The sequence below is a fragment of the Homo sapiens genome, chromosome 7 (assembly GCF_000001405.40).
Source record: "Homo sapiens chromosome 7, GRCh38.p14 Primary Assembly".
NCBI lineage: Eukaryota > Metazoa > Chordata > Mammalia > Primates > Hominidae > Homo > Homo sapiens.
The window spans coordinates 126,804,065-126,830,086 of NC_000007.14; the positions used below are offsets into that span (position 1 = coordinate 126,804,065).

The following is a 26,022-nucleotide window of genomic DNA, read 5'->3' on the forward strand; positions in this document are numbered from 1 at the left end:
AATTATCAAAGGGATGCACTCTCTCTTCTAAAACTGATTTCAATCTCCTCTCCTAACTGTCCTCTCAGTCTGCACTTTTGCAATTACAGCTCTTATCAATGTTGTATTCCATTGGCCTGATTCACCAGCCCCTTGGCTTTCCCTGCAGCTGTCTGGCAGCTTAGCTTTTTTCCCTTATCTCTACTACTTTAAGGAAAGCTCTTACTTAGCAGGATCACTTCTTTTCGTTATCTTTCCAAATATTCCAAACATAACCAAGATATACTGAAATGACTGCACACAATCATTTTATTTTCTACAAATCCCCTCCAACTCTATCCCGCTTCATTGTCTCATTCCTTTGTTTATTCTTCTGCCATAATTGGCCAGGTCAGGCAGCCAGTTGAAGTAAACATTTTGCCATTAACCTATTGACCGCAGAACTTTCTGTGTGAAAAACCTGGCTTGAGAGCTCCCTCCTCTCCTGTCTCTTCTCTGCATCCTTCTCCCTGCTTCCACCTTTATCTAACAGATGCAGCTTAAAGAAAATCTAGTTATAATTCCACTTCAAGATCCATTCAACGAAGACACCTGCATTTTATCCTCATTAAGGATGTGCTACAAGCTGAAAACATTACAGCCTGAACTACAAATAGTGCCCCTTTCTTTACGGCTGATTACAGCAACTTGGTTGTGGTAGTTGGTATGCCTCTGTATGTTTATAACAAAGGATATGAGATGGAATTAACTACATCTAGCTTCTGTTATGACTTACTCTACCTATGCTGAGGCTTGTTAATAATTTGTAGGACTTTCAGAATCTTAACCAACTCTATCTTGCTCTGCTAGAAACTATTCTACCAGAAACTGCACCCTCCCCTCCAAATAAATAAATCAACAGCAGGGTGAAATTTCTTGCCCAGACTGTGGTCCTCTTACCACTCAATATTCTCCATGAACCTATTCTGACACTTTCCTTCCATCTGAGATGCTGAGTATACCAATCCCAATGGTCAGCCCATAAATAGTAATAGAACTCTAACTCATGATCCCTATAATAATACGCCTAGAAAGCCAAACCGTAACTCCTAAAGAAATTGGCTCAGAAAGGTCAGGACTTGACCTTCTTAATGACTGTCAGCTTCCCTATTTTTTGTCTCCACTCTGCTTTCAACTTGGGACCAATCCAAAAAAGCCAAAAATGATCCCCCAAACCCATCACATAAGATGCCCCACCTCTGGTTAGCCTACCTTCAGCTTCCCCATGGCAATAATGTCCAATCAGAGCACAACTGGAACTATTTAACATGTATGTATTTGTTGAACAAAGCTTCCGCATCCCCCTGCCTGTCTTGGAATTAGGCAAGTGATGGTGGCTGATTCCCTTGCTGTAGCAAGCTGTGTGTGAATACCTCCACTTATTCTGCTTTGAATAGTCTTTGTTATTCCCCCAGTATTACTAGAGGTTCCACTGAGACATGGTCTGCACCACCCACTGTTTCTGTCCCTAGGTTTCAATCAGGTGCAGTACCCATGGATACCTCTTACAGCTTGCTGCTTGTGGCTTGCATCCATGCAGATGTGGAAAGTCAGCATGAGGTCTGAACTCAGCTATCTTTTCACTGAGTCCCTTGGCTGTTTATTCTGTTTGGTACCCAAGTTTTGTTATTGTCTCCCATTTGTTTGACATCCTTGGCAGGCCTTTCCTACTCACCCTCTTTGCTTTATTTCATTCTTCTGTGTCGGACTGTCTGAAAGCGTTTATCATTAGAATGAGAATCCCAGGGTAGAGCACAGGCATGAGTCCTATAAGCCTATAGTTTGAGCTGGTCTCACAGACTTTCGGTTCTCTCCAGACCAGTTTCCATTTGTACAAACTTTGCTGTGAGTCACCAACAAAACTGGACGAGGTCTTTTTTCTATTCTATTTTGTTTTTGGGGTCCTGAAGTTTTGCTTTGATTCAGACAAGAGTTTTGTCCCTGATGTTCAGCCTACTGTGTCCAGAATTGGTGGGTTCTTGGTCTTGCTGACTTCAAGAACGAAGTCGCAGACCCTCGTGGTGAGTGTTAAAGTTCTTAAAGATGGTGCACCCGGAGTTTGTTCCTTCAGATGTTCAGATGTGTCCAGAGTTTATTCCTTCCGGTGGGTTCGTGGTCTCGCTGACTTCAGGAGTGAAGCTGCAGACCTTCCCGGTGAGTGCTACAGCTCTTAAAGGCGGCGCATCTGGAGTTGTTCCTTCCTTCCAGTGGGTTCGTGGTCTCGCGGCCTTCAGGAGTGAAGCTGCAGACCTTTGCCATGAGTGTTACAGCTCAGAAAGCTGGCACGGACACAGAGTGAGCAGCAGGAAGATTTATTGCAAAGAGCGAAAGAACAAAACCTCCAAAGTCCAGAAGAGGACCCGAGTGCATTGTGGCTGCTTGCGCAGCTGGCCTGCTTTTATTCCCCTATCTGGCCCCACCCACATCCTGCTGATTGGTCCATTTTACAGAGAGCTGATTGGTCCGTTTTGACAGAGTGCTGATTGGTGCATTTACAAACCTTTGGCTAGACACAGAGTGCTGATTGGTACGTTTACAATCCTTTAGCTAAACAGAAAAGTTCTCCAAGTCCCCACCCATCCCAGAAACCCAGCCGGCTTCACCTGTCACTGGCATGCGTCGCGGGACTTTGCGGCACCTAGCCAGCCACTCTGGCAGCCCAGAGGGAGCTCGCCCCCCAGTCAAGCCCAGCAGGTGCCTGCCGGCTGTGCCGCTGAGTGCGGGGCTTGCGGAGCCCGCGCCTACCCGGAACCGCGCCGGTGGCCACCCGTAAGCCCCAGCTCCCACCCGCGCGTCTCCCTCCACACCTCCCCGCGAGCAGAGGGAGCCGGCTCTGGCCTCGGCCAGCCCCAGAGAGGGGCCCCCACAGCTCAGCGGTGGGCTGAAGGGCTCCTCGAGCGCGGCCAGAGCGGACGCCGAGGCCAACAAGGAACCGAGAGTGAGCGAGGGCTGCTAGCATGTTGTCACCTCTCACTACCAGGGGATATACATTGTCAGGTCTGCATTTATAGGCAGCTGACTTGTTGAGGACCTGAGACATGAAGTACACAAGCATTACTTTTGACTAAGTTTTGGCAGGTCTCATGAGGTTAAGACTAGGTCTTCTCCTCCAAGAAAAACTTCTGCTTCTTTTATGTACTGTCATTGCAGTCGTAACTCTTGAGCATAGCTCTCTAAATGGCACAAGTTCACAAAAAAAAATATTGAGACCAAAGGCTACTTCGACTTGAAAAAAAATGTTCATTTGAGAGGTGCCTTAGGAAAAAAAAGGAATAAGATTTCTCAGGCCTAAGGAGCAGCGTTTTTCTCTTGTGCAGAGGTCTCCAAATGAAATTCTGATTTCTTCACTAAAACTTCTTCACTAAAAGATGCTTTGGTCTAGGCTAACCCTCGGTTTGACAAACTTAAAAATCAAGCGAGATGCATTTCCCTAGTAAATCCCTGTTTTCCTAGTCCTTCAGTTGCCTCCTTATATCCAGGTTTCCCTTTTGCCTCTTCCCCCTTCATTATATTATCTCTCCTGCCACTCTTCCATCATCTCCTCCCTTCACTTCTCCTTGTCTGGACTCCCTACATTTTCCAAATGATTCTCCTAAAACCCTAAAATCCCAGTTGCCTCTAAAGACCCATCCGTCCTAGTCCCAAGTGGTCCCAGGCATGTAGGCAATTCTAGAATTTAGGCCTCAGATCTGAGCTGAATTAAAAGCTATAATTAAGGATTTTCCTAACTCCACACAAGACTAGCACGTACTCATGGAATAATTTAGACTATTTTGAGTGCCTACAACCCATAGATACTTGACCTATGACAACTTAAATGTATGTTGGTTGGAACCTCAGACACTAAATCCTAAATGACAAAAATGGACCGGAATGACTCAAAAAGGAGACCTAGATGATCCCTCTTTCCACAATAAACCTCAGGGTAGAAAAAAATATCCTAGTCCTGAAACAGCTACAGTAAAAATAGATTGGGCTATAATTCAATCATGCAAACAGAGAAAACATGACACTATAGGATATTTGTCAATGGATTACATGTGAAATTGGAGACTCAATTTAGAAACAGAAATTAGCATAAGAAGTAGACTCTTTTACCTGAGTTACAATATCATACAGAACATTTTTAAAGGGCTTCAGAACCCAAACAAGACAAGACCCAAAATAAACTTAAGAGACCTGCAGATCAAACAGCTAGGTAGCTCACTTTCTGACCCATCACCTACCGAAAAGGATACTTGCAAGTATTAAAAACAGAAGAGACACTGGAAAAAAGGATTGTCCCATCATGCAAAATAAACACCAAGTCAAAGAAAAATCTCTCAATTCAGATCTGTGAGGGTAATCTGAAGAAAGAAAAAGCACCCAATATCCTACCTTACTGTAAACACTCAAGATGAATTAACTGTAATATAGATGGTCAACCTGCTGGCAGGTACAAGAGCTACTCTGTCTTCATTACACCCTGTTACCTTTGTTCAGCCTCTTCCTTAGAGCAAACATACAACATAGGTGGTAGGTTTTTCAAATAATGCACAGATTGTTCCTATATCTCAATCTTTAACTGTAATCCTTGGGCTCTTGAGTAAAAAACATTCCTTCCTTCTCTGTGATAAAATCCCTGAAATTTTAATAGGAAGTGACTTACTTTGCAAATTAAACTGTAGTATGAAATGCAAACCAGAAGAACTATTTCTTGAGGTTCCAGAGTCCTCCTCTATTCATTATCAAATTGTGTCTGCTCTGGTATGTCTTTGCCTCCTCCATTACATTTGATGCCTACCACAGATAAAGCTCCTGATATATGGATTAGTTTCCTATTGAAGCTGTAACAAATTACCACAAACATAGTGGCTTAAAACAACACATATTTATTATTTTACAGTTCTGTAGGTCATAAGTGCAAAATGGGTCTAACTGGGCTAAAATCAAGAGTCACCAGAGTTGCATTAGTCCTAGAATCTCACAGGGAGAATCTGTTCCCTTGCGTATTTTATCTTTTAAAAGCCACCTAAATTCCATGGCTCATGGCCTCTTCCTCCACTTTCAAAAGAAGCAGTGGGGCATCTTGAAATCTCTCTAACACAAGCCTTCTTCTTCTACTTATAAGGACCACTGTGATTATATTGGGCCCACCTGGATAATGTAAAAGTCAACTAATTAGCAATCTTAATTCCATCTACAAACTGAACCCCCTTGACATATAGGATGACATAGTTTCTGGTCAGTAGGAGGTGAACATCTTTGAGGGGCTATTATTCTGCTTACCACAACATTTTACCTGACATTGCATGGGCTAAAATTTCTGCTGATATAGGAAAAATAATTAGAGGGAAATCTATTAAACTTCAGACAGATTCTACCAGACAGTTATCCAAACTCCCCCAATATCCAAAAGCAAAGGAAGGACTTAAACCTATAGATAAAAGCCTTATATCAAAGACCTTCCCATACTCTACACTAGCCTTTGTAACACTCCCGTTCTGCCAGTAAAGAAACCAAAGAAGTGAGAATATTGATTTGTTCAAGACCTCAGGGCCATCCACAAAATTATTATCCTTAATTTCCCCATAGAATGTAACCTAACTACCATCCTCTCATCAATTCCAAATGCCAGCCACTTGCTGCACTGGGACAGATCTCTGCTCTGCCCTTTTCAGAGTGTCTGTAGTGAAGTCAATGCCTTTATACCTTCACCTGGGGAGTGCAACAATATACTCTGACAGTCATGCCTTAGGGGTTCACTAAAGACCCTCCTATTTTCCTAGATTCTCAAATAAGACTTAAAAGACATAGGTTTCCCTTCTGATTCAGTTTTGATACAGTATGTAGATAATCTCTTACTTTGTTCACAGGACAACAAAGCCTGTAAGAGGAATTCCACTTACTCTCAGTCTTAGCAGAAAAGGACATAACATTTCAAAAAATAAATTACAATTATGTCAAAATAGAGTCAATTATTTAGGGTATGACCTATGTATAAAGGGGAAAACATACTCTCATTATAAAGACAATTCAACTTGTCCTGGCCCTCTAATAAATGACAACTTAGAGAAATTCTAAGTTTAATTGATACTGAAGATAATGAGTGCCAAACTTTTCTGGGATTGCAACATCTCTTTATGAATTGACTAGGGCTTCAATAAAAGATACTCTCCTCTAAGAGGAAAAACATGAACAGGGCTTCTGTAATCCAAAGAAGGCTCTTTAAGAGCCTCACCTTCTCTAAGTACCCTTAACTACAAAAAGCTCTTTTATCTATTTGTGCATGAGTAATCTGGACAGGTTGAGGTTTAAACTCAAATTCAAGAGAAGCATCAGAAACACACTGCTTACTATAACTGCACCCATGACCCGGTTGCACAGACTTAGCCTCCTTGTCTCAGGACAATAGCCACTGCTGCAAAAATTGTCAATGCTTCTGCTGAATTAGTTCTTAGCTCCCCACTTGACTTCATGGTTCCTTACACAGTACAGACATTACTACTGACTAAGAGCAAACAATGCTTTTCAGCCAGTTGGTTAACCTCTTATGAGACTCTGTTACTGTCTCCCTCCCACATTACTAAAATTCACCACTACAGTACCCTAAGTCCTCCCACTCTCCTGCTCCTACCAAAAGAAGGGAAACTTTACAATTATCTTACCTAAGTGAAGGAACTTTATGTACCTCACTCAGATTTGTTAGAGATTCCCATTGGAAACTCTCACCTAATATGATTTGTTGGCGGATGTCTCAAAACAGAAACTTGAGGTTATCAAACAGGATATGTTATCCCTCACTAATTTAAGGTCTCCTTTAGAGTACACTTGGCCCTCCACATCTGTAGGCTCCTCAACCAAGAATTCCACCAACCACAGATAGAAAATATTCAGGAGAGTTTTCCCTAGGTTTTCTTCAAGTATTGTTATAGTATCAGGTCTCACATTTAAGTCTTTAACCCATCTTGAGTTGATATTTGTATATGGTGAGAGATAGAGGCCCAGTTTCATTCTTCTGCGTATGGCTATCCAATTTTCCCAGCATCATTTATGGAAAAGCGTGTTCATTCCCAATGTATGTTCTTGTAGACTTTGTCAAAGATTGATTGGCTGTAAGTATGTGGCTTTATTTCTGGCTACTCTATTCTGTTCATTGATCTATATGTCTGTTTTTATACTGGTACCATGCCGTTTTGGTTACTATAGCTTTGTAGTATAATTTGAATTCAGGTAATGTGATACCTCCTGCTTTGTTCTTTTTGCTTGCTTTGGGTATTCGGGATTTTTTTTTTCTTTGGTTTCATACAGGTTTTAGGATTTTTTTTCTAATTTCATGAAAAAAGACACTGGTATTTTGGTAGGAAGTGCATTGAATATATAGTTTTGGGTAGTATGGTCATTTTAATGACATTAATTCTTCTGAATCATGAGAATAGGATGTTGTTCCATTTTTTAATGTCATCTACAATTTATTCATTAGTGTTTTGTAGTTTTCCTTGTAGACATCGTTCACTTCCTTGGTTAAATATATTCCTAGGTATTTTGAGGTTTTCTGTGGCTATAATAAATGGGGTTACCTTCTTGATTTGATTCTCAGCTAGATGATTATTGGTGTATACAAAGTTTACTTATTTTTATTTGTTGATTTTGTACCCTGAAACTTTACTGGATTCATTTATCAAATCTAGTTTTTTGGTAGAGTCTTCAGGGTTTTCTAGATGTAAGATTATATCATCAGTGAATAGGGATAATTTGGCATCCTTTTTTTTCCAGTTTGAATGTCTTTTCTTTCTTCTTGCCTAATTGCTGTGGCTAGGACCTCCAGTACTATATTGAATAGGAGTGGTGAAAGTGGGCATATTTGTATTGTTCCAGTTCTTAGAAGAAATGATAGGCAACGAAGATTTTGAAGGGTGGAGGGGTGAGAGGGGTGAAGATGAAAAGTTACTTAATAGGTACAATATGCATTATTCTGGTGAAGGATACACTAAAAACCCTGAGTTCGCCACTATGCAATATATCCATGTAACCAAATTACACTTGTACCCCATAAATTTATACAAATAGCTTTTTAAAAAAATTAGAAAAAATAATACAAATAAAAAATACAGTAAACAACCATTTGCATAGCATTTACATATATTAGGTATTTTAAGCAATCATGAGATGATTTAAAGTATAGTCATGCATTAATTAATGAGGGGGATACTTTATGAGAAATGCATTGTTAGATAATTTTATCATTGTGCGAACATTACAGACTGTACTTACACAAACCTAGGTGGTATAGCTTACTACACAACTAGGCTATGTGGTACACCCTAGCGCTCCTAGGCTGTAAAGATATACAACATGTTACTATACTGAATAGTATAAGTAATTGTAACACAATGGTAAGTACATAGGAGAGGTACAGTAAAAGTATGGTATTATAATCTTAGGGTATCACTGTTGCAAATGAAGTCCGTCATTGACCAAAACATTGTTATGTGGCCCATGACTGCATACAGGAGGATATGTGTAGATTATATGCAAATATTACATTTTATATAGGAAAGTTGAGTGTACTTGAATTTTGGTATCTGTAGGAGGAGTCCTGAAACTAATCCCCAGCAGATACCAAGGGAGGACACTCTATACTCCTCCAACTGAGGTACCATCAGCTCAGGTGGCAGAACGTATTATGCTTACTAGAGCTTACAATCTAACAAAACCCTAGAAAGTAAACATGCATACATAGAGCAGGTATGCTTTTGCAGTAGTACATGACTTTGGGATGCTTTGCAACCAAGGAGGTTTCTCATCTCTGCTGGAACTTCCATCAAAAACAGACAGGAAACTTTTATGCAGTCTACCACCAATGGGCATTTAGGTTGATTTCATAGCTTTGCTATTGTGAATAGTGCTGCAGTGAACATTTACCTGTATGTGTTTTTATGCCTACCAGGGGTTGTAGGGTGGGAGGAGTGAGAGGATCTATAAAAATAACTAAAGGGAACTAAGCTTAATACCTGGGTGATGAAATAATCTGTACAACAAACCCCTATGACCCAGGTTTACCTATATAACCTACGCATGTACCCCTGAACTTAAAAGTTTAAAAAAAGAAACTTTTAGATGCTTCCTAGGGAGGTGACTATTACAAAGGTTGAAGCCCATACAAAAACTGATAGTATGAAAGTTTGGGGAAAATGCTATAGCAGATCATTCTGCCAATAAGCAGGCTTCACCAAGGTTATGAGCCTAATTAAACTCTCAAAGAATAAATCCCTTGAAATATTCAAAAAGGCCGTTATGAAATATCAATGTTAAGTTCCTAAAAAGTCCTAAAAAGGAAGAATGGAAAAACTCTGGTTGCACATTTCACACAGATCATCTCTGGCACCCCCAATGAGGACACTGGAGACATGAATAACTTCCAATGGATATGAACAAAATTTCTCTATAAAACTACTCATCATGGTACAGACAAATTGGTTACTATCTTAAATCATCATTGGTGGGGAAGATTTATGGACTGATGAGGCTATTTTTAGATCATGTGTCACCTGTCAACCCAACAGCATCTTGGAGAAACTATAAAGGTGGATGTGAAACCTCAAGAACCCTTAACACCCTCAGATAGGTTTTGTCCAATTTCCATTCTCCATGAAACTTGTATGCCTATTTTCAGGATCGGTTGAAACATTTCCTTGCTGAAAAGCTACAGCCTTCACAATCAGTACAAAGCTCCTTGATAATGCATTTCTAATTTGGGGCATACCAACTTTTATAACAAGTAACCAAGGCTCATGTTTTATGGGAGCCATTGTAAAAGAAATTTGTAATGCATTGTCCCTTACTCAAAAATGACACTGCCTTTATTACTCACAATTTTCTAGAAAAGTTGCAAGAACCACTAGCATCATTAAAATTAGCAAGCTTTCTGAAGGACGTGAGCCTCCTTTGGGAGGCCAAAGTTATTTCCACCAGCACTTATGGCCATATGGTCCACCTGCTCAGAGAATTACTGGTTATCTATCTATGAACTGGTAACTGGAAGGCCCCTTCATTTATGGACACCACCTACAGTATTAGACTACCCTGCTACACAAAAATATGACAAAATAGCAAAAGAGGCTCATGTAGTATACTCAGTTTTATCACCAATAAGTTAAGATTGACTTCTTAACTTGTTTACAATCCTTTCCTACACAGCCTCTTTATGATCTTCAACAGGAGATCCTGATTATTAGAACAGACATTAGAAAAAACTGTTCTTGAACCTCCCCTGTAAGGGACCTTATCAGATACTTTTAACAACAAATACATCATTGAAACTCCAGAGATCAATCCTTGGATTCATGTTTCATAACTAAAGAAGCAATTCAATATTCTATACAACTGGAAGGCTACTCCAACAGAAAAACTTAAACAGAATTCTTAGAGATATTATAGAAATAGTTGGTCTTCAGAAGCAGATGGCTGATCCAAAACCTCCAGAAAAAGATGATCTTGGACAGTAGACAGCTTGCACCCAATACATCCAACCTAAAACCCCTGCATTCTTGTTTGTTTTTCAATCTTCTTACCTGTTACCACTCTCCTTATTTTCCATAGAGCTCTGATTGTCATCCACTAATAATGGTTCTTTTTCTCTTTTTTTTTTGTCTATTATAATTAAGTCAGAACATACTCATTCTAATGCCATTCTTATATTTTTTTTTTCAAAAATAAGCCACTGCCCTCAATATTACAGACTGCTGTATAGGTCAACCAGAACCAGAACCCCTGATAAAAAACCTCTGAGCAATCCTAGTCTCATCAAATGATACCCCAGCAAATTATAATCAGTGACATTTCCACTTGTACCTACATGGACAAATGACTTTAAACAAATCAACCTAAGACTTTGCTGTTGTCTCTCTATACCAGAAAAAGAACCAATTCTTACTGCCTGTTTATCAGACTCTATATAATTCTAAATTTGAATTCCATAATCTTCACTGGACAATGGGCCAATTACTTGATGCCAGGAAGACAGTAATAGAGATTCAAATAGGTAAACTCAGCTAATGTGAGGCCTTGGTTCCAACCTCATGTCATGAATAATTCTTTTTGTCCATGGCTGTCCAGTTCGTGACAAAAATTCCTGGTCTCATCTGCCTCAGGCTAACACCTCAAGTCTTTTTGGTACACAGAGGCCCTGATTCTATAAATCATCAAGGCTGGAAATTCTGACTCAAATACAAGTTCCAAAATGAGGCCACCTTTGAAGCATTCTATCAGGGAGAATTACTGACTCATTGTTTATATGAATAATCAGAACAGTGTTCCCAACACCAGAAATCGTATACATAGAAAAGACTAAGAAATTTAACATTAACTCTAACAGAAGTTATTAACAGTACCAACTCTGCCCTAGATGTAATACACATCAGTCTTAACTCATCAGCAGTAGTAATGCATAATATCATTGCTCTAATTTCTTGTTGGCTAGCCATGGTGGAATCTGTGCCAATAGTAATACTTCTTGCTGTACATGAATTAATAAAACAGGCAAGGTAGTACAGGCTATATGCTACCTTATGAAAAAGCTACCTAAATCTCTAAGGTGATCCTCATGCCCTGTAGAAATTTTTCTCACAGCCTGAATTGGGCAATTTAGGTTCTTGGACCCAAAACATCTTATAAGGACTATAAACTATTCTTCTTTTTGTCATAGTGCTCATGATGCTGATCTGTTGCATGCTATCTAGAGTCTTAGATACTTCTGTGCAGCCACTCTCTTATCAGATGATAGCCATGATGATAACACAACAAAAAGGTCAAGATCTTGGGAAATGATGACTATATGTACAACTGAACAATCCGTAAATGGTGAAGGTCTTAAGCCTTCCATGAGAATGATGCAAAGGTGAGACTGAGACTAAACATACAAATACACAAAGGCCAGATTTTTATATATATATATATAGTCACAATATATGAAAATAGCACTCTAATGCACAATCTCCACAGCAATGAGCCTGGGAAACCAAACCACAGTCTGCAGGCTTCAGACAGCTTCCCTACATTTTGTCCCTAGTCTCAACTCAGGGCCAAAAGAAAAATCCAAATATGCATCCCAAACCAAACACGTAAGATGCCCCACTTCCAGATGGCTTACCTCCAGCTTTCCCATGCCAAGAATGTCCTATCAGAGCATGTATAGTATCTTTGCTTTTTTAAATTCAATATAAGGCTTTACCACCCTCCTGCCTATCTCTGAATCTCTGAAAAGTGCAAGTGATGGTATGTGGAACTATAACAAACTCTGAATAAATAGTTTGTTATCATTTAGGTAGTTTTAATTTATTTTCACACATCCTTGTACAATGTCCACAGGCAACCCAGAATACTAAACTCTAGCAAGTGTACCCATAATGTAGGAAAGTAAATAGACCTTAAAATCACCAGTTCTGATATTCAATATATATCTAACCTTGGAAAAGATTGTTAATATCTCTAAGTCCTAGTTTCCTCTTCTGAAAAATAAGAGTAATGTAATCACCTAAATGGATTTGGTGTAATGATTAAATGTCATGATGATGATGATGATGATGGTTTCTGGTAGTAGCTATGTTCTTCAGATGGGATGGTAACTGTGTCTTGCTGTTTGCTACCTAATGTGAGATAGTATATGATTTTGTGTGTGTGTGTGTGTGTGTGTGTGTGTGTGTGTGTAGTGTAGCGTATAATTTCAAGCATATACAGAGGTACACAAATAGTATGACAAATCTCAATGGATTCATCACCCAGTTGCACAAATTATCAACTCATGGGCAATCTTTTTTATCCATAGTCCTTCTATTCACGCTTCCATTATATTTTGTTTGAAGAAAATCCCAAACATCATTATTTCATTTGTAATATTTCATTATATATCTTTAAGAAATAAAGACTCTTATGAAATATAACCACATTATTATACTCCTTTAAAAATCCTTAATATCTAATATCAATTTCTCATGCTATGAATCTAATATGATGAAAAGTTCAACATTGATTTATATACACTTCAATTGTTTCCACACATTTATGGCTCCTTTTCTTCATTTCTATTTTTCTTTAAAATGGTGTTCATAAAAATGTATGGTTACTAACTGGATTACTTCTATATTTTTGACAAGGGGCAGAATTTGGAATACAACTGAATTTTGTCTCCATTAATACCTACCTTCACTACCTTTGGTGAATATTCCTTATATCTTATAATTTCTTGCTATTTTAATATCTAAACAACCTAGAGTAGGCTGTGTAATATTTACTATTTAGCTCCTTCTAGTACAGTGAAGGAATTACAATAAAATGATACTATGGAGAATATGCATGGGGCTTCACTTAATCAATGTCATAAATATCCATTTAAATATTTTCAAAATATTTACCAGTTCCCTTAGAAATAATTTACTTGAGGGGTGATGAGTTCTTGCTTGTCTGATTCATTTGTAAGGTTCAGTTTATTTACTGAGGATTATCGATGTACAGTTACCAGTAAATTTAGAAAGTATCCTGTAGGTTGCATATTTACGAAAAGTCCTTCCCTATCATTTATCATCCTCTAAACACATCCTAACCACTTTTGCTATCATCAGTTTTGAGCAATTGATTTTCAGAAGCAGACATTTGAGGGGAGTGGCTGAAAGGGAGGTCGTTTGAGCATTGCTGTTTTATGAGTCAATAACCCACCTCAATGAAAAAGAATTAATTTCACTGAGGTAAGTAAAATGTCCTTTTAAAAGGATAAAATGAAAATATCATACATTCATTCTGTATAGTTACATCGTTAGATTTTCTATTTTTAAAAATTTCCTCTGGACACACTTTATTTTCCCAAACTATAGTAAATACCACAGCAAACAAAAATTTTTGCAAGCCTTATGGAATTAAAAAAACAACACTTAGAATCAAAGGACATTCAACTAGTGAATTATTGCACATAAGTCTTAAACTTCTTTGACTCTTTTTGTGAACAGCAGGAACAGTGAAATTAAACAAAAAATTATTAAAGGATTTGTTTCCAACTGGATAAAAAGGAAGATGGTAAAGGAAAAGGAATCTTCTAAGAAAACTGTGACTCTTTAATATCTTAATAGAACATATATTAGTCAAATGTAATATTAACAGAAATGTCTCATTTGTACCAGTCAAACAATAAAATTGGCTTCTAGACGAGATATTTTCATTCCATAAATCTTAGGAAACGTAACTTGAGATATTTAGTAAAAGCATGCCCTAAAACCCGTTAAATCTAAATTTAATTTTCTGTGGTATTGGCTAAGGGTTTGATTATCTTCTTTAAGTGAATAAAATCAACTGTTCTGTTAAATATTTTCCAGGAAGGAAAACCAGAAGATATAATTGCAGGAGACAAGGATAACCTCTTCTTGCTTACTGTCATTAAATTAAGGTTTAGACCCTCAATGCAATAAAAAAAATCAAATGTCAAATCTTTCAGCTATAATAATTTTATTTTTCCTGGTTTATTCAGTCTGCCTCAGATAAAATCTGTAAAAGCGAAAATGCTCTGAGTCATACATTTAAAATTTTAAAAGTTGTAACCACATCACTCTTACCAGAATTAATCTTGGCACTGTGATGAACCAAGGTAAGTAATTTTTCTCTAGCATTAAGATTCTCTTCTATGCTAAATTCCAGCTATGTTCAAACATAAGGATATCACATCTAATTATTAAAACTTTGACAAGGAAATGATAGTAGTAAGGTGAATGACTCATTGCCTAATACTCAGCTGTCCCATGTCAGCAAACCCATTCATTCTTGGCAGAACTGGAGGCATACTTCAGTCTACAGGTATACCTTGGAATATCAATCAATTAGGGATTCCTTCCAAATCCAATTATTACCAACCCCTGTCACTTCCACCTTCTGAGAGTCTCTCTAATCCATCCCACTGCTAATACCCCAGTTCAGGCCCCCTTCAGCTCTCACCTGAACTGCAACTAGGGCGGCCATCTGAGGGATCTCCCGTTTCTGTGTCTACCCAGCCAGCAATTGATCCTTAACTGAACAGGAGATCTGTCTTCCCAGAGAACAAATCTTTGGATGGCAAACAAGCAAGAGAGTCACACACAAAATATTTCACAATTTAGTTTCACCATAGTTTATCATATTATCGTCCCCTCACTCTCCCCTTTCTCACTCCCTTCCTATTCAGACAGACACACATACACACACACACACACACACACGTGCACGCGCAAACTCCACATTAACCCTAATCTCACAACTTCCCAGATATAGAGCCACTTTAATAACCTTTGAAACCACATTGGACTCATTTTCACATTCCTACAAATACACTCACAAAGCATTGTAAATATTTGTTGTGTCTATTGCCTCTCTGCTAAACTATGAATTTCATGGGGGAAGTAATCGTGTCTTAGTCTTCATCATATTAATCTCTTTGATAAATATTCATCAAAGCGAAACTAATTCTAACAAATCAATGTAATATAATAAATATTCAATAAATAAACTATGAATATTTAAGTATTCATTAAATGTTAAAGATGCCATTTCGACTTCATTTAATTTTATTGGAATTTATGTTAAAATTTGTAAAATATGAGTAAGACCTTAGCTCGTTCAATACAACAAAATACATTCTAGAAATATTAACAATGTAAATAGATTTTTTAAAAAAACTATAGAAATACTAGTAGGAAATAAAAAGTCACATTTATATCATGTTGGGGAATGGAAAAGACCTTTCTAAGCATGAATCCGAAGGCAACCATCAATAAAAAGAAAGCAATATCAGCTTTTTCAATTAAAAAAAAATTCCATAGCAGAGTTATAGCAATATAACCTTCAGCAATGATGGAAAAATTTTATAGGTACACTGTCTAATACAGTAGCTTCTACCCACACATAACTACTGGATGCTTGAAATTTAGCTAGTAAGACTTCCTAACTAAATTTTTAATTTTATTTCATTTTAGGAATTTTATTTCATTTAAACAATTCAAATTACATTTAAATTTCATAGCCACTTGTTAATGGCTATTTTTTGAACAGTGTGGTTCTATCAGTTTAAATAAAATCTTCTAGAAAGAAAGTAAAAATGCAAACCACAAAACTGAAAATAAAATATTTGAAATACACCTATTGAATAAATACATTATATCTTCAAAACATAAACTGTTCTTACAAATTCCTCAAAAAATTATCTTTTGGAAAAATAGTTACAGATGATATACAAAATGAGAAATATAGATGGCTAATAAATATATGAAAAGCATTCACCACTCACTACTAATCAAAGAAATCCAAATTGAAACAATATACTGACTGCTGTCACTTCTTCAGCACCACCCTATCTTCACCTCATTTCCATTGGTTAGATTTGAGTCTATCCATTCTACCTTTTCTTAACAACATCTTTATCTTCCTTAATCAATTATTTTTCTGGCACCCACCTGACAAAAACTGAACCTTGGATAAATTCAACAGTCCACGTCATGAACTAGAGATCACATAATAGAAAACCATATGAGACAGTAAAACCACGGATAGGTGTGGTCTTGCCACCTCATTCTCAGCACAGCCTGGACATCCTCTACATGTTCTTTACCAGTTCTTTCTCTCTCTCTCTGTTTCTCCACACTGGCTGCTTAAACCCTTTCTGCTCTCTCAAATTTCCAACCCTGCCATCTTCCTCCTATGAGCTGAAGGCCTCACCACTGCTTCACAAAGAAATTAAAGACCATCCTAGGGCACGGTGGCTCATGCCTGTAATCATAGAACTTTGAGAGGCCAAGGTGGGCGGATCGCTTGAGGCCAGGAGTTTGAGAGCAGCCTGGGCAAAATGGCGAAAGCCTGTCTCTGCAAAAACTACAAAAATTAGCCGGGCATGGTGGCACACACCTGTAGTCCCAACTACCTCAGGAGGCTGAGGCAGAAGAACTGCTTGAACCTGGGAGGCAGAGGTTACAGTGAGCTGAGATTGTGCCACTGCACTTCAGCCTGGGCGACGGAGCAAGACTCTGTCTCAATCTCCAACCAGTATAAATGACACACAGTTATTACCTTTCTACTGATCCCTTAAACTTCCCCAACTATTACCACAGATGCAATGTCAATATTTATTTCACCATTTGCTGGATTTCACCCTTTGTTTCCTATCTCCTCTTTTCCTTGTATTTTCTATTCTCTTCATCTAATGCACCCATCCTTCAAGCATTTAAATATACCAAATTCTCTCCTGTTTTGAAAAGACACATACTGCAGTGCCTTAGGAAATCAGCCTCAAAATCCGAGCTCTACCATTACCGCTGTGTGATCATGTTTGGCCCCTGTCATGTTTCCCTTTCTGTATCTACAAAAGTGGAATAACAACAACATTCCATCCATAGTATAGTTACGAACAGGGAATGAAAAAGTTTCCACAAAGCACTTAGCATGGTCCCTGGCATATGATAACCTCTTGGAAAACATCAGCAATCATTTTCACTTTTTGAAATGATTTTGAGCTCTCCTCAGCTTCATATTCTTTCCAGCCATCCCCCATCACTCTCCTTCCTTTCAGAGCAATTCTTTTTTCTTAGCTAATTTTAGATTTAAAGAAAAGTTTCCAGGTACTACAAAGAGTTCCCATATTCCCCTTATCCTGGTTCCCCTAAAGCTAATACATTGCATAACCATGGTACAATTATCAAAACTAGGAAATTATCATCAGTGCAATACTATATTAAATTACAGGCCTTTTCCGGATCTGACCAGTTTTTTCATAATGTAATTTTCTATTCCAGGATCCAGTCCAGAATCCCACATTGCAACTGTGATTTCTCCTTAGTCTCCTATAATCCATAGCAATTCCTTTCTCTTTCCCAGTCATGATCTCAACACCTTTGAAAATAACTAATCAGTTATTTGGTAGACTCTTCTTCATTGGGGGTTTGTCTGATATTTATTCATTATTAAATTTTGAAAACTTACATTTTTTAGTAAGAATGCCACAGAGCTGACACTGTGTCCTTCTCAAGGCATCATATCAAGAGATCATGATAGCAGTATGTCACAGGAAAGTGTTTTGTAAGAATTATATCCTCTCACTGACTCCATTTCATTTCCTCTTGCTTCTCAATCTACTGTTCACTGGCCTCAGTCTCCATCAGTCCATTGAAACTGTTCTGGTTAAGGACACCAAGAACTCTCTTGTCATTTAAAGTTTCTTTAAAAGAAACTTCTCAAGCCTTTACTCCTAGACCACATAGTATTTTTGACACTGCTGAGGACTATCTTCTTTACACATGCATTTAGCTGCCACAACACATTTGCATGATTTACCACTGATTTTTTATTTTATGAGTGCTTACCTGCACTCAGGCCCTTCCTTCCTTCCTTTCCTTCCTTCCTCTTTTATTTTTCTTTCTTTTCCTCTGTCTTTCTCCTTCTCTCCTTCCTTCCCTTCCCTTCCTTGTCTCTCTCTTTCTTTCTTTCCCTCCTTCATTCTCTCCCTTACTTTAGAGATGGGATCTCACTATGTTGCCCAGGCTGGAGTGCAGTGTCTATTCACAGGCATGGTCATAGCACACTACAGCCTCAGACTCCTGCGGCTCAAGTGATCTTCCTGCCTCAGCCTCAAAGTATCTGGAATTATAGACTCCTATCTCTTAGTGCTTTCCTCAGTCCCCTTTCCTGGCTCCTTTTATGATAAACTACCTCTGAACGTTGAGAGTGCTTATCTCTGACTACACATTCTTCCTAGATTAATGCATCTACATATCTGGTTTTACTTGCTATCCAGATGCAGACAATTCCCACATCAATGCCTTCAACACATTTCTGTCTCCTAGTCTTCATCCCATATACACAACTGTATTCCAAACATCTCTAAGGGATAGCCTACAGGAATTACAAATGGAACAGATCCCCCAACCAACTCTACTATGATTCTAAAGTTGAGCCTTCTAAAATATGATTTATTTTATGCCACCAAACCTACTAAGCCACTTATACATATAAACACAACAAAGTAGACAGTAGGTAAAGAATGTCATATGGTCTTTGAAATAAGATTTTATTAATGCAGTCTAAGCCTGCAATTAGATTTTGTGATAGTCACATCATATAACTGACACATAAGCTGACCACAAAAGAAAAGCTTCTATTTTAAAAATAAACATATAGCCGTAGCTGTTTTTCCAATCCTGTAATTGTATGGGTAAAATTTAGGACATGCTACATCACTCTGTTTAATTTGGTCCTCATTCCAGTCTGACATAATTTGGGATCCAAATGCAGTAATCCAACTAGCTGTTAAATTAAGATACACTGAGCAAACACTACTAGAGATACAGAAGTGAGGCAGAGTATTAGTTGTCCCTTCAATCCATTCTTCTCTTTATCCATAGTATTGCAGTTTAATCTAGGTCCCTGGCCATTATCTAGATGTGACCCTGTCTAAGATAAATATAATAGGGGCCACATATGTAATTTTAAAATTTATGATTGCCACATTAAGTAAATAAAGGTGAAATTAACTTCAGTTACATATCTGGTTTAGCCAATACATCCAAAATATTATCATTTCAAAATGTTATCAATATTAAAAATATTTAGATATTATGCATTCTTTTTTTCATTCTACGTTTCTGCAATCAATGTGTATGTTAAACTCAGAACATATGTTAATCCAGAGCAGCCACATTTCAAGGGCTCAGTAGGCTCACTTGAATAGTTGAGAGGTAGAGAGACTGCATTTATGGTACAGCAGCTTAAACCTTAACTCAATGTACACAAGAGTTGAACAAGCAACCACATTCCAGGTCCTAAATTTGCCTTCTCTCCTAGCTGCAAATTTGGTGGCTGGTGGATTTCCATATTTCCATATATAAGATAATGTGTTTGTGTGTGTGTGTCAAAGCAGAGGTTCAGGGAGAGAGAAGGCAATCTCTCTTAAATCTGTATTTGCATAAAAATAACACTTTTGTTTAGATTCCATGTTACCAGTCAATAAATATAGGATATCTAAAAATTATTTTATTCATTTTTACATAAAACTAAAGAAACTGTTATTCATATTAAAATATGGTCATCACTGTTATTATTATTATTTCTTAGGTTGAGATAAGCATTGTTTATCCTTCAATTAGTCATTTCATGTTCTCCAGTGGCAGACAGCCTGGGTGAATTTATAGCAATGGGATGTTGCCAAGTTTGTTTCAATTACTCCCTTAGCATTGTGTCACAAAAAAAGTATATATTTTTATGTATGTATCAAAGTGCACATGAGAAAGGAAAGAGTCAAAGTCAATGGCAAATAAGAAACCAATAAATAAAATGTACTGTGCTTTAAAACTTTGTTGATCCACTTCCCAGGAAGTCATTAGTGTCTAATAATGGCAGGTTTCTCCCCACTGCCCATTCCTGTTGACTGGGGGAAGGGAGCCTTGTGAGTGGAGAAGAGGGTATGCTACCTACAGAACTGTGTTCACAGTGTTGGTATACTTATGTGTCCTACCAACTGTGGCTAAGCCCATGGCAGGCTCCAAGCTGTGGATCATTTTATCTTTCTATTTGTCAGGTCACAGTCATGACCACTAATGGCACCCATCCCAAAAGTATATGATTCTTCAGGAAATACAGCTTGAGATACCAATGGAAGTATCTTTTTAAGCAAAAATAGGAATATAAGATTTTAAAAATTATTTTCTTCACCTTCTTGGTTAGTGACTAATAAATTTTTTGGAATCTTTTGGCTTTCATGAACTGTTAGCAGTCCCATTATATTGGCTCTTTCCTCCCTAACTCATATGTGGTAAAATTAAAGAAGGAAGGAAAGGAGGCTGAATGACCATTGGTCATGAAAACCTCAATATTCCAAAACTCTCTCAAAGAGCCTCTCTTCCTCAGGATAGTAGTTTGAAAACAGAAAATTTGGGAAGGCCACTTGGGATAATGTTTGGTGTCTGTTGCTGCATCAGCGTTTACAAAGTGAGTATCCAAACATGTACTTTTTTTGTTGTTTTTTTCGAGACACAGTCCCATTCTGTTGCCCAGGCTGGAGTGCAGTGGGGTGACCTCGGCTCACTGCAACCTCCGCCTCCTGGGTTCAAATGATTCTCCTGCCCAGCCTCCTGAGTAGCTGGGACTAAAAATGCACACCACCATGCCTGGCTAATTTGTTGTATTTTTAGTAGAGACAGGGTTTCACCATGCTAGCCAGGATGGTCTCAATCTCCTGACCTTGTGATCTGCCCACCTTGGCCTCCCAAAGTGCTGGGATTACAGGCATGAGCCACTATGCCCGGCCCCAAACATATACTTCTTTAAAATGCACAAAAACTCAATGAGTGTTATTTTCCTTATTACTATTGTTATACCTAACTAACAATGAGGAAATCTAAGGTGTAGAGACATTAAATGACTTGCTCAGGGTCAAAAGCTAATAAGCGGCAGATTACCAAGATTTCTCAATTCAAGTCCAGAGTTTCCACCATGAATAGCCTCAGAATATTGCAAAAGGCTATGCTTTAGGAATGGTACTTAATAGTGTTAAAGGACTGGGTAAAATAAGATAACCTACCAAGAAAAAAAGTTGTAACTTCAATTGACAACTTACAATATGAAAAACCTAAACATTGGTTAAAAAAAGGAAACTGAAACTTTTTTTTATTATTATTATACTTTAAGTTTTAGGGTACAGGTGCACAATGTGCAGGTTAGTTACATATGTATACATGTGCCATGCTGGTGTGCTGCACCCATTAACTCGTCATTTAGCATTAGGTATATCTCCTAATGCTATCCCTCCCACCTCCCCCCACCCCACAACAGTCCCCAGAGTGTGATGTTCCCCTTCCTGTGTCCATGTGTTCTCATTGTTCAATTCCCATCTATGAATGAGAACATGCAGTGTTTAGTTTTTTGTCCTTGCGATAGTTTACTGAGAATGATGATTTCCAATTTCATCCATGTCCCTACAAAGGACATGAACTCATCATTTTTTATGGCTGCATAGTGTTCCATTGTGTATATGTGCCACATTTTCTTAATCCAGTCTATCATTGTTGGACATTTGGGTTGGTTCCAAGTCTTTGCTATTGTGAATAGTGCCACAATAAACATACGTGTGCATGTGTCTTTATAGTAGCATGATTTATAGTCCTTTGGGTATTTACCCAGTAATGGGATGGCTGGGTCAAATGGTATTTCTAGTTCTAGATCCCTGAGGAATCGCCACACTGACTTCCACAATGGTTGAACTAGTTTACAGTCCCAACAACAGTGTAAAAGTTTCCTATTTCTCCACATCCTCTCCAGCACCTGTTGTTTCCTGACTTTTTAATGATTGCCATTCTAACTGGTGTGAGATGGTATCTCATTGTGGTTTTGATTTGCGTTTCTCTGATGGCCAGTGATGATGAGCATTTTTTCATGTGTCTTTTGGCTGCATAAATGTCTTCTTTTGAGAAGTGTCTGTTCATGTCCTTCGCCCAATTTTTGATGGGGTTGTTTTTTTCTTGTAAATTTGTTTGAGTTCATTGTAGATTCTGGATATTAGCCCTTTGTCAGATGAGTAGGTTGCGAAAATTTTCTCCCATTTTGTAGGTTGCCTGTTCACTCTGATGGTAGTTTCTTTTGCTGTGCAGTAGCTCTTTAGTTTAATTAGATCTCATTTGTCAATTTTGGCTTTTGTTGCCATTGCTTTTGGTGTTTTGGACATGAAGTCCTTGCCCATGCCTATGTCCTGAATGGTAATGCCTAGGTTTTCTTCTAGGGTTTTTATGGTTTTAGGTCTAATGTTTAATTTTTGTATTAATTGAATTAATTTTTGCATAAGGTGTAAGGAAGGGATCCAGTTTCAGCTTTCTCCATATGGCTAACCAGTTTTCCCAGCACCGTTTATTAAATAGGGAATCCTTTCCCCCATTGCTTGTTTTTCTCAGGTTCATCAAAGATCAGATAGTTGTAGATATGTGGCATTATTTCTGAGGGCTCTGTTCTGTTCCATTGATCTATATCTCTGTTTTGGTAGCAGTACCATGCTGTTTTGGTTACTGTAGCCTTGTAGTATAGTTTGAAGTCAGGTAGCGTGATGCCTTCAGCTTTGTTCTTTTGGCTTAGGATTGACTTGGTGATGTGGGCTCTTTTTTGGTTCCATATGAACTTTAAAGTAGTTTTTTCCAATTCTGTGAAGAAAGTCATTGGTAGCTTGATGGGGATGGCATTGAATCTGTAAATTACCTTGGGCAGTATGGCCATTTTCATGATATTTTCTTCCCATCCATGAGGATGGAATGTTCTTCCATTTGTCTGTATCCTCTTTTATTTCACTGAGCAGTGGTTTGTAGTTCTCCTTGAAGAGGTCCTTCACGTCCCTTGTAAATTGGATTCCTAAGTATTTTATTCTCTTTGAAGCAATTGTGAATGGGAGTTCACTCATGATTTGGCTCTCTATTGGTCTGTTATTGGTGTATAAGAATGCTTGTGATTTTTGTACTTTGATTTTGTATCCTGAGACTTTGCTGAAGTTGCTTATCAGCTTAAGGAGATTTTGGGCTGAGACAATGGGGTTTTCTAGATATATAATCATGTCATCTGCAAACAGAGACAATTTGACTTCTTTTCCTAATTGAATACCCTTTATTTCCTTCTCATGCCTAATTGCCCTGGCCAGAACTTCCAACACTATGTTGAAAAGGAGTGGTGAGAGAGGGCATCCCTGTCTTGTGCCAGTTTTCAAAGGGAATTCTTCCAGTTTTTGCCCATTCAGTATGATATTGGCTATGGGTTTGTCATAGATAGCTCTTATTATTTTGAGATACATCCCATCAATACCTAATTTATTGAGAATTTTTAGCATGAAGGGTTGTTGAATTTTGTCAAAGGCCTTTTCTGCATCTATTGAGATAATCATGTGGTTTTTGTTTTTGGTTCTGTTTATATGCTGGATTACATTTGTTGATTTGCGTATATTGAACCAGCCTTGCATCCCAGGGATGAATCCCACTTGATCATGGTGGATAAGCTTTTTGATGTGCTGCTGGATTCGTTTTGCCAGTATTTTATTGAGGATTTTTGCATCAATGTTCATCAAGGATATTGGTCTAAAATTCTCTTTTTTGGTTGTGTCTCTGCCCGGCTTTGGTATCAGGATGATGCTGGCCTCATAAAATGAGTTAGGGAGGATTCCCTCTTTTTCTATTGATTAGAATAGTTTCAGAAAGAATGGTACCAGTTCCTCCTTGTACCTCTGGTAGAATTCGGCTGTGAATCCATCTGGTCCTGGACTCTTTTTGGTTGGTAAGCTATTGATTATTGCCACAATTTCAGATCCTGTTATTGGTCTATTCAGAGATTCAACTTCTTCCTGGTTTAGTCTTCGGAGGGTGTATCTGTCGAGGAATTTATCCATTTCTTCTAGATTTTCTAGTTTATTTATGTAGAGGTGTTTGTAGTATTCTCTGATGGTAGTTTGTATTTCTGAGGGATTGGTGGTGATATCCCCTTTATCATTTTTTATTGCATCTATTTGATTCTTCTTTTTTTCTTTATTAGTCTTGCTAGCAGTCTATCAATTTTGTTGATCCTTTCAAAAAACCAGCTCCTGGATTCATTAATTTTTTGAAGGGTTTTTTGTGTCTCTTCAGTTCTGCTCTGATTTCAGTTATTTCTTGCCTTCTGCTAGCTTTTGAATGTGTTTGCTCTTGCTTCTCTAGTTCTTTTAATTGTGATGTTAGGGTGTCAATTTTGGGCTTTTAGTGCTTTCTCTTGTGGGCATTTAGTGCTATAAATTTCCCTCTACACACTGCTGTGAATGTGTCCCAGAGATTCTGGTATGTTGTGTCTTTGTTCTCGTTGGTTTCAAAGAACATCTTTATTTCTGCCTTCATTTCGTTATGTACCCAGTAGTCATTAAGGAGCAGGTTGTTCAGTTTCCATGTAGTTGAGAGGTTTTGAGTGAGTTTCTTAATCCTGAGTTCTAGTATGATCGCACTGTGGTCTGAGAGATAGTTTGTTATAATTTCTGTTCTTTTACATTTGCTGAGGAGAGCTTTACTTCCAACTATGCGGTCAATTTTGGAATAGGTGTGGTGTGATGCTGAAAAAAATGTATATTCTGTTGATTTGGGGTGGAGAGTTCTGTAGATGTCTATTAGGTCTGCTTGGTGCAGAGCTGAGTTCAATTCCTGGGTATCCTTGTTAACTTTCTGTCTCGTTGATCTGTCTAATGTTGACAGTGGGGTGTTAAAGTCTCCCATTATTATTGTGTGGGAGTCTAAGTCTCTTTGTAGGTCACTCAGGACTTGCTTTATGAATCTGGGTGCTCCTGTATTGGGTGCATATATATTTAGGATAGTTAGCTCTTCTTGTTGAATTGATCCCTTTACCATTATGTAATGGCCTTCTTTGTCTCTTTTGATCTTTGTTGGTTTAAAGTCTGTTTTATCAGAGACTAGGATTGCAACCCCTGCCTTTTTTTGTTTTCCATTTGCTTGGTAGATCTTCCTCCATCCTTTTATTTTGAGCCTATGTGTGTCACTGCACATGAGATGGGTTTCCTGAATACAGCACACTGATGGGTCTTGACTCTTTATCCAATTTGCCAGTCTGTGTCTTTTAATTGGAGCATTTAGTCCAGTTACATTTAAAGTTAATATTGTTATATGTGAATTTGATCCTGTCATTATGATGTTAGCTGGTTATTTTGCTCATTAGTTGATGTAGTTTCTTCCTAGTCTCGATGGTCTTTATATTTTGGCATGATTTTGCAGCGGCTGGTACCGGTTGTGCCTTTCCATGTTTACTGCTTCCTTCAGGAGCTCTTTTAGGGCAGGCCTGGTGGTGACAAAATCTCTCAGCATTTGCTTGTCTGTGAAGTATTTTATTTCTCCTTCACTTATGAAGCTTAGTTTGGCTGAATATGAAATTCTGGGTTGAAAATTCTTTTCTTTAAGAATGTTGAATATTGGCCCCCACTCTCTTCTGGCTTGTAGAGTTTCTGCCGAGAGATCAGCTGTTAGTCTGATG

At 38.1% G+C, this 26,022-nt stretch overlaps 1 protein-coding gene across 25 annotated transcripts in view; it reads right to left on the reverse strand.

Moving 5' to 3' along the window:
- GRM8 (glutamate metabotropic receptor 8) overlaps window positions 1-26,022 on the reverse strand; it is an 814,344-nt gene that overhangs the window by 365,467 nt on the left and 422,855 nt on the right. Inside the window, exon 1 of one of the 25 annotated variants that reach the window (XM_047420277.1) lies at window positions 1,231-2,045. The exons of the other annotated variants lie outside the window; for them this stretch is intronic. Coding sequence (XP_047276233.1) covers window positions 1,231-1,318 — 88 coding nt within the window. The 5' untranslated portion in view covers window positions 1,319-2,045. Of the gene's footprint in view, window positions 1-1,230; window positions 2,046-26,022 lie in introns of those variants that run through there. 25 annotated transcript variants of the gene reach the window in all.